The 10,440-nt window shown below is 35.8% G+C and overlaps 1 annotated feature.

Moving 5' to 3' along the window:
• Positions 8,915-10,114: an enhancer, noted in NCBI's record as "P300/CBP strongly-dependent group 1 enhancer chr4:181301504-181302703 (GRCh37/hg19 assembly coordinates)". NCBI's record gives its function as "activates an origin of replication core promoter dependent on BRD2, BRD4, P300/CBP, MED14 and CDK7 cofactors, with strong dependence on P300/CBP, by STARR-seq in HCT116 cells {active_cell/tissue: HCT116}" and the evidence as "EXISTENCE:reporter gene assay evidence [ECO:0000049][PMID:35650434]".

Raw genomic sequence — 10,440 nt, forward strand, 5'->3', positions numbered from 1 at the left:
TTTTTTTTTCTGCCTAGATGGGGTTTCACCATGTTGCCCAGGCTGGTTTGGAACTCCTGGGCTCAAGTGATCTGCCCACCTTGGCCTCTCAAAGTGCTGGAATTTCAGGCACGAGTCATTGCACTCAGTCATGGAAATCCAGATTTCTGATTTCAAGAGCTACCTGTTTTACCAACCCCGTTATGACTCTGATTTTGTTCTTCCTCTCTTGTCTCAACCCCAATGTCCATTGTACCTCTGTGACTCTAAGAATTCTCAAACTTCTAATGACTGAGTTTCCGTTTTCCCGGGCATGAAGATGTACAGGCTTCCTCCTGGGACTGTGTAAGTGGCTGCAACCTGTTTCAACTATGGACATATTGTAAGAGACAGGGGCAAAAGTGAAAAGCTTGTTTTTTGCGTTTATACTCATCTGTTTTTGTGTTGATGGTTTCAAGACAGGCAGGAAATACTGATTTGTATTGACCAATGATGAGGCCTGTGTCAGCACCCGCTAACATTCAAGGGCTGCGTCAAAAGCCCCCTTTGCCCGTGGGTCATAACCACATGGGCCATAGAGTCGAGAGGCAGGCATGTTTTATATCTCCACATTTTTCAGGGTAAAATATTACAAATAAATTTCTTAGATTAAAACTGTTATCTATCTTTCCTAAAAGTGAGAATACAATGCATGAGCTTTAGGTCAAGAATAGGACATTTTCTTGAAACAAAGAAAATGAAATTCAAGCAGACATTTTTCAAAATTGTGCGAATGATCTCTTATTTGCAAAGAGCAAATAAAAGAATTCTAGTACTAACAAAAACATGTAGCCCAGCTTCCTCATTGTGTAGGGATGGAAAATGAGGCTCATAAGTGTTACATGCTTTTCCCAAGGACCTTCAGTGATTTTTGCCATTTGCCTGGTCTCGAACCTCAACGGAGAGAGTCCAACTTCAGCACATTTGCCATTATGCTATAACGGCTAGATGAAGTCAGGTCACCTGAATTCAAATACTGGCCCTACCATTTCTAACTAAATAGCCTTAAGCATGTTAACGAATATTTCTGTATCTTGATTTTCTCACCTGTAAAATGAAGATAGTAGACCATCTACATAGGATGGTTTTGATGATCAAATCAATCAATTCATGTAAAGCACTTACTTTAACACAACAAACACTCAAAATATTGGCTAATATTATAAATTACAACCACATATATAAATATATAATTGTCCCTAGATGATTATCTATGCACACTTTCTTAGAACACATTTTTTTGTAGAAATATACTTTATTTGGAAGCCAGAAATAAGGAAACTGTGTAAGACAGTTTGAGAAAATGGAAATCACAATGAATCCACATGCTTGAGTGAAAACTCTCTTAATCACATGAACTAGAGAAACCCTCTCAGAATAACACTTATTGTAAGTAGTGCAATATGAATCTGCAAGACAGTTCTTCCAAGGAATGAAACTGATGCTGGATCATGGCCAATAAGCAGCATACTTAGTGTGGTGTTTCCCCTTCCAAAGCATGTGTCCTGATGGTAATTGTAATTATTCTATCTGAACAATATAACAAGCAGGAAAATGTGTACCACATGTAATATCACACTTGATGTAAGGGGGTTTTTTGGCCTGTGTAACATTTTATGACTTAATTTTGGAAGAATATTAGAACCCTATTGTGCTACTGCAATGAAAGTGCAATTGTAGGTTTTTGCAAAATATGTACTATGTAAAAATGAGTGAATAAAAGCAATTATCAATTAAATGGGCAATTCTGTTATTTCAAAATTATATGAGATTATGGACTCATGTAATTGCCTCACTTTTTAGCTAAATTGAGAAATAATTGGGTGTTTATTAGCAATTGTTGAATGTAAGATATTGAATTATTTTCAACCTGCATAGTATGGGGAAAGGAGTATGATTCATACGCAAAAATATATTGTATTCAATTCCACTGACTTTTAATTGTGGTGTCAAGTTATTAAGCAAAAATTTTGAAAAGAGGCATATGTTATTTATGCTACAGCATTCTATCCAGTTAGAATTCTGAGTCATTATATCTTTCTATCTAAACATCAGTCATTTTCTCTCTTAAAATTTCCTTTTATAATAATTTAGCCAAGTAGATGCATTAGTTCCAGACATTAATTAAGGTTTGTGTCATAATTTTCATCAAAAGTATTTTATGCACATGTCTTCAATCTGTTCCATTTTTCTACTTATATTCTTCATTGTATAGTCTTCATGCATGATCAATTGTGTTTCTAAGACACATGGCAAGATTTGTAGCGTTACGTAGGCTATTTGATTTATTAATATTTAGACCAGTGAGACCACCGCTCAGTTCTAACAGCTTGCCTCGGTTTGTGTGAAAAGTCATGCTCTAAACTCAAATTAACTCTGTAGTTTAATCTGCCACAAAATCACCTCCTGTGAGGTATCAAATAAATGTTTTACACCATGCTGTGTGTGTGTTTTAAATACATCCTCATGAATCTGTTCAATTTACTATGTTATCTATTTAGTAGAACACTTTCTGAAGTTTTTATTCCATTTTTCAAAGTTTCATCTGGGTGTAATCCATTGTCATTGGTATGAATAAGCAGCCTAGACTCAGGGATCTGAGTAAGTTAATAGAGATCATGAATAGGACACGAGCCTGCGATATGTTAGAGATGACTCTAGAATGTGGGAACCGGCACGCCGGAAGGAAAGAAGATGTATGTAGAAGTACTCCTAGCACTAAACCCAATGTTTCAGCTTAGCCTTGTAGCATTATTAGCACAATGGAATCTTTAATATTAGCAAGCTCCAACAAAATATTTTAGAGAAATACTCAACCATAAGAAAAGATTCATTGTAACCCAGGGAAATCGTCACTGTGACCCCCCCCCCCCCCCAATATCTCTTTTACTGAAGTCCCACAGGAATCATCTTCTAGATCCCTTACAGTCACTGCAGGAGGTCTGGGTCTTCCTGTCCTGAGGCCTGTGTTGGCTCTGGTGTCACTCTCTGACACACACCCTTCTTTGCTTGGAGGCTTTCTCTTGTGTCTTGCTCGTGTTGTACATGGATCTGCTGCCTTTTTTGCTCACTCGAGTCTTCCAGGTCTTCCAGACTCCTGTCTTCTCCCTCCACAGCACTACTCTGTATTCCATACACCTCACTTCCAGAAGGTGAAGGAAGAAAATCCCTCACACACTTTTGCCTGCCCATTCTCTATCAAAAGCCATGGCCCCTAACCCCAAACCAGGTACAATCACAGAGAAGCACATTGGTATTCCTGAAGACACAGAAACACCAGGACTCACCCAGGGAGTCCGTGGTGTTCTGTTTTCCCATCTGTGCCAGAAGTTGTTCACCACACTAACTGGGGACTCAGTGCAGAAAATTAAACTCTTAAGGCAATAAATAAGAAATTTTAGATAATTATCTAATGGTACTAAGACTAATATCCTAACATTTAGTATGCACTCTGATGGAATAATGAAGCAAAATTTAGGAATGAATACAGTTACAATCTATTGAGAAAAACAAGTTGCCACATCTTAGTGGCTATTTTTCTAAGAACATCATCTCCCTCCAAAGCTAGAAAGCTGAATCTCACAAGGGCTATTATAGTAAGCAGCCATTGCTTTAGGGCTAAAATAATAATTATTTATTATTTTGTTCAAGTGTAAATGTTACTTGTCCGCCCAATCCAGGCTTGACGTGGGAGAATATAACCAAAAGGAATGGATACAGGAGGCATGAAAAATTGTAGCCATTTATTTAGTCCATCTATAAAATTGTCCTAGTGATGAAAGCATTGAGAACAAGAAAGCAAAGCATAAATATGAGAGCAGGAACCCTTTATGGGACTGAGCCCAGGCAGGACATCTAAGGACAGGAATTTAGGTCAGTCTAATCAAACTTTTCACTGCCAAAAGCTGACAAAGAATAAATTATCTATAGGTTTTATAAAAGTACACTCATTTTATTTCTAAAATTGCCTTTAACAATAGGTTTATTAACATGTGGATCAGTTTGCTTATTTCCATACACTTGCCCAAAATTATAATTTTACTTCCTTTCAATTTACAGTATTTTCTTTTGTGCCAAAGAAAAATCTAGGAGTTACTTGGTTAAGTCTGAATAATCTCCTCAGATACAAGTTTTAAAACATAAATATAGCTTTTAATCTTCTCCTAAATTTCCAAACTCTTTGTAGAACAATAAAAGTGTGATATATGGCCCAACTAGCTTACAAACATTGCCACATGCCATTTTTGAAGCACAGTTCTCAATGTTATTATTTTTTTTTATTTTTATTTTTTGAGATGGAATCTTGCTCTGTCGCCCAGGCTGGAGCGCAGTGATGCAGCCTCAGCTCACTACAACCTCTGCCTCCTGGGTTTCAGCAATTCTCCTGCCTCAGCCTCCCAAGTAGCTGGGATTAAGGCATGGGCCACCATGCCTGGCTAATTTTCATATTTTTAGTAGATACAGGGTTGAGGTTTAGCCATGTTGGCCAGACTGGTGTCAAACTCCTGAAGTCAGGTGATCCACCCGCCTTGGCCCCCCAAAGTTCTGGGATTACAGGTGTGAGCTTCTGTGCCCTGCCCTCAATGTTATACTGTTTGTAAAAATAAACAAAACCTGCTCAAATGTTGTCAAACAAAAGTTAAATAATGCCAGCTTTAAAAGACAGCTCAAGTAAATCCACATAGTTTTCTCTATTTAAAGTTAAATGTAAATAAATTTAAAATGTTAAAATATTTTCAATATATCTAAGCCCACATAAAAAGATTAGTAAAATGGTTATGTATTGTCTTATGATAAAATTTAAAGAGTAGTATGTATTTTCCCCAAACATAAAAATTTCAACTTACCACAATAGCAGACACATTCAATTTTTCTGTAGACATTCATTTATCACATTAACTTATATTGATTGACAACCGTTATATGGCATATGTCGTATCTTTTGTATTTCATTGTAATTTGTCATTAAAACTTTATTTTAACCTTTACCTCTAATTAAATATATTTAGGGCAGACTAAAATACTTGCTAATTATACTCAAATGAAAATACATTTACAAGAGGAGTGAAAAAATTAACATAAATGTGGAAAATAGCAGGGAATAAAATAAATAATAGTAGTAATAATAATAATGGACAGACTGGGCATGAAGTACAGGTGGCTCACACCTGTAATCCCAGCACCATGGGAGACCCAGGTGGGATAATCACTTGAGCCCAGGAGTTCGAGCCCAGCCTGGGCAACACAAGGAGACGTAGTCTCAACAATAAGAAAAAAAAAAAATAGCTGGGCATGAAAAAAATAGCTAGGCACATCTGTAGTTCCAGCTACTTGGAAGGCTGACATGGTAAGAGCGCTACAGCCTGGGAGGTAGAGGCTGCAGTGAGCTATGATTACGCCATTGCACTCCAACATGGGCAACAGAGCAAGACGCTGTCTCAAAACAAGATAAAAGGAAGGTTAATGATACATTTCCCAGAACATACTAATATGAGAGTGACTTTTAGAAAGAAATGTAGGTGGATAAATTAATATGTAATTAAAGTGAAAAGCAGAGATATGTAACACAAACATACTTCATAGACCTAGAATTTTGAAGAGTAACTCGTGCTGTAAAGAAGGAAGTTAAGTTTCATCCTGTGAAACCTCTTTCAATTTAACAGGCTATGACTCTCAACCTCAATTTTAGTCAATATTGGATTATATCTGTGTGAGAACCTCTTAGTAACCAGATGCCATGGGATCTAGAGAGGTGAGCTGGCACCTCCTCTAAGTGCCTGTCAGCTCCCCCTTCCTTTATCTCTTGTTGGTATGTCTCACTTCTGGGCCAACACTGAGGAAGGGATAGTGAGCATCCTGCTGCAGAGAGTATGGAAAGAGGAGAGGAAACAGGGAGGGAAGAGAAAATGAAAGAAATGAAATAGAAATACAATGTCTGGCAGCAGACATTGTGATCACCACCGTTGGACTGTATACTGGCCGGCAGTCTAGATGATGCAGAGACCTCTGGAAAGATCCAAGGACCCTCAACTTAATTTTGTTTTCTACCATTAACTAGTTTTGAAATACTCAACACTCGCAAAATGTTTTTTGTTCTATTCCATATTTCACTTTAATTTCACTCAAAGCTTCCCCGGAGCTGATCTGTCAGGCCTTTGGGAGTGTCAACCTGTATTTGCAGAGCTTGGCATTTGGCTGAAGACTCTTCTAAGGGGCTCCTGTGCAGAGTTCTTGAAGCCCCTCTTTGTACAGCTCATTTCCCTCTAGTTTCACTCATTTCACTCTGCCCCAACAAGTTCCATCAGCACCTCAGCATCCCCCAATCCTGATTTTATCTTCAGCTCAGTGAGACTGAGATCTCTGTGCTGTTGGGCTCACTTGCCTGAAATGCAACCTAGAAAGTGCCTTCAGACAGAGAGCCCAAGCAATAGTGGAGTTCATGCCAGTTTTTCCTTCCTTTGGGGATGAAAATCCTGTGCTGCCTGCCTGCTCTCCAAAATAAATACAGTTGCATCATGTATTATGTCCAGGTTTATAATTGGTTTTGGCAGAAATGCTTGTCCTGCTCCAGTTACCCCATCATGGCTGGAAGCCTCGTTTTAAATTCACATTTAAGCACTTTACATTAATACATTCCAAAAAGATTAAAAAATAGAGACCTTATTCTCTTCTTTATCTATACATGGAAAGAAAATTAGCTGCATTGTTTAATATCTTTTATTAATTACAAATAGCATAATTATCCTTCCTGAATGCCAAGGCAACGTTATAGCATTCATTTTTAAAAATGTATTTGTAATTCCATCATACAATTTATGTGACAATCATTTTTCCTATTGTAGTCAAGGGTAACATGGAATAGTAATTCAATTAGTGAAATATCCATATCTGTTTTCACTGTTTCCTTTAAAATTCTCAAGGGGCTCATTATAGAAGCATTATCTCTGTCAAGGACCTAATTACTTGTCTTTGTATTCTCAGCAATTTACCTTTCATCTTTAATCGTGGCTCCCTTGAACTTTTTCATCTGTTGTATTCACTTCAGTTTTATGTAACTCATGTTAGGTCATGCCATTCCTTTGGATTATCATTTTCAGGGTTTCCTGTGCTTTTTCTTCATTGGTCCCTTACAATTAATATTGATCACTTTTCACCTCTAGTATATTTATATCTCAAAAGTACAACTTCTTATTGAGCATCTTTTTAATTAGCTCAAGTATTTTCTTTCTGGCCTTCTTCATATTCAGGGGCATCTGGCTAAGAACCAGCTTTTTATATATTTAAAATCAATTTTACTTAGCCTAATTAATATTTTATTTTTAAATTCTTACTTCTGATTCATTTAGAGTTATAATATTTTGAGTGATCCTAGTTTTTGCTTTAGGATATAATATGTGCCTTGTTCATCTTACTCTTGGGTCTTGAAACATAAGAGTACTCAGTCTACCATCTGGCTGACTCTCCAACCCAGGAACTAAGCTTACCAAATCCCAGTATTTGGCTATAATGTTGGATGTTGACCCGATTACAACAAACATTAGGCATCAAGGCAGTTACATTCATTTTTTCAGTGATATAAAATATCAGAAGAGCTGCAACTTTTTGTCTTCACTTTAATATCACCCTTCCTTTGCTTTAGCTACTACCTTCCTCTTTTGAATTCCTCTATGTTCTTCTTTCCTTCTCCTCTCCCTACCTTCCTTCTTCCCTTCCTTCCTTCCTTCATCCTTTCCTTCCTTCCCTTTACTTTATCTAATTTAAAACTTCTAACTACTTCATAAGGAAGTGCCCCTGTTTTAAGTAATGTCGAAATTGATATATAAGTACATTGACAAAGTCATACACTGAGTAATGGAGAAAAATAAAAATCAAGCCCAATTCTCTGTGATTCCCTATTCCATGCTTTGCCACCGCTATGTATTATCAGCAAGCTAAAACTAAAATATGTAATGACTGTTTTTAAATGTAATAAAATCCATCTAGGGTAAATGATACTTTTTCATTGACTGGTAAAGCTTGTTTCTAATTTTTAAATCAGTCTGGGTTGAACAATATAATTTCAAATGTTGCAACAATACAAAAAAAACTAGGACTGTAGAAAATCTTGTTTTATAATAAAATCAATATAAAGCTGAGACACTGATTCAACTTTCCATTTTTTTCTTCATCTATCTCAACATTTGAACATTCCTTCTAGTCAAGAGCATCTATGCTGTGATCACCAGTGGTTCTTTGTAAGTCAAAGGAAACCATGTCAAATATACAGTAAAACAACAAAATTTGTTTCATCCAGCTATTCATTCATCCTTGTATCTGCCCATTCATACACTCGTTAATTTACTTAATAAATCTTGATGGAGCAACTATTTACCAAATACTTTGTTGTGCAGTAATATAACAGTGAACCTAATAAAAACATTGTCTGCCTGACCTTAATGAACTTTCAGTTTATAATATAAAACTCTACAGAAACAAAAAAAATTTATCCACTCAGAAGAGATAAGATTACATCTCAATATCATTTTATTCAGTTCCTAAATAATTAATATTTTTTCCTTAATTCCTTTTTTATACCAGAAAATCAATTATGTATTTTTTACATACATTGTAAAAAAGATATGAATTTCTGGATTTCAAACATTTTGATTAAGCAACCTAATTATGGCAGTAATTTTCATTCATCACGGTTTCTAGTAAGGATGGTGAGAATGTTTATGTTAACTGTGCACTCTTAATTTTTAAGGTTGGCCATTCTTCTGGAAATGAAGAGTATTTGTGAATATATAGGGACCCTCACCTAGCACTCTTCTCTGAGAAGCTGGGTGGTATTTAGCATAAAATAAGTGGTCTTGCATTCTCTCCAAAGGGTTTTACGCTCTTAGAAGCCCTCAGTAAGAGGTTTCAACACAAGTGTAATCAATTCCTAAGAAATTGAACGATAAAAAATGTTCCTCCAACATATTTATTATGACATTGTACTTTTATATTCTATTTGGCAACTTTATTGAAGAAAATGAATGTAATCCTTTATTGAAGATTTTAATGAATTTGAATTGGGTCACTAAAAGTTTTAAAGATAAAAAAATTTATGAAAAGTGAGACAAACAGCTTTCTACCATAAAGTAATATATTCTGGCATTTCAGAGAAGCCTGCGTGACTTTATCAGATAGAAAAAATATGATACAATATAGATGTGATATTTAAAATTACAGTGATCATGGTTGTCTAATTATATTAAGATAATGAATTTGAAAAATCAGAGACAAAGTGAAAACCTCTGTCTTTTGTAGTCCCTTTAAAGGAGAAACTTATAAAAATATTTTTATATAAAGAAAATAAAAATAAGAAAAACGAGTCCTAGGTCAGTAGTCAGTCAACTATTTCTCTAAAGAGGCCAGCCAATAGTAATCTTTTAGCTTTGGGGTGACATAGTTTCTGCTGCAGTGACTCAACTCTGCATCATAGCTACAAAGCAGCCACAGATGTGTGACACAGACATGACTCAGGTGAACAAATGAGCGTGGCTGTGCTTCCAGAAATCTTTACATACGTGAACGGGAGGCACCACATTTAGCCTCGTGGGCTATATTTGCTGACCCTTGCATTAGATGGATGTGGGCATTTTAAATATAGCCAAAATGATGAAAAAAAATTGGAAATATGCACCTACCAATGTCACAAGTAACTTCATGGATTAAAAGAAAGAAACTATATAAAAAATTAGCTTTCCCAGATGAAGTACCTAAAAAGGTGAAATATTACAATAATGTGGCAGAATTTGTTTTAATATTTCTTTAGAGTATTTTTGTTGTGTTTTGAGAAGTTTATGAACACTTTTTGCATATTATTAATGCAGCCTTTTTTATTTCATTCAACAGAATAACATCTACTCTATGACCTGTCTGTTTCTTTGGTAACAGATAAGTAATGCAATTACCATTTGATCTTATTACTCCAATAAAGTTTTAATATTAATACTGGAGAATTCCCCCCCCCCCATAGAAGGTGAGGTGATTTTTTTAAAAGTGACATTAATTTTAATAAAAAATTATTCCAAAAAGATGATAAAGGTAATTCTAATGGTCACTTTTTGGACCAGCTATGTCTCAGCACTTTTTTTTTTTTTCTGGAGACAGGCTCTTGATATGTTTCCCAGGCTGGTCTCAAACTCCTGGGCTCAAGTGGGCCTCCTGCCTCAGCTCCCGCCCCAGCCTCCTGTATCTCAGCTTCAATATACATAAATCCTCAAATAACTGTGAGCTTATTGACTCTCCTGTCAGAAAATTGAATTGCTTTTTAGATGTTGGTTTATTTCAAATATCTTTGTAGATGTAGTGGTTTCATTTCTAAAGATTAATTGAAAACTAGTCACAAGTTTGATTTGCATACTTTAATACATGTCTGCCCCTATTGATTATCTA

The sequence above is a fragment of the Homo sapiens genome, chromosome 4 (assembly GCF_000001405.40).
Source record: "Homo sapiens chromosome 4, GRCh38.p14 Primary Assembly".
NCBI lineage: Eukaryota > Metazoa > Chordata > Mammalia > Primates > Hominidae > Homo > Homo sapiens.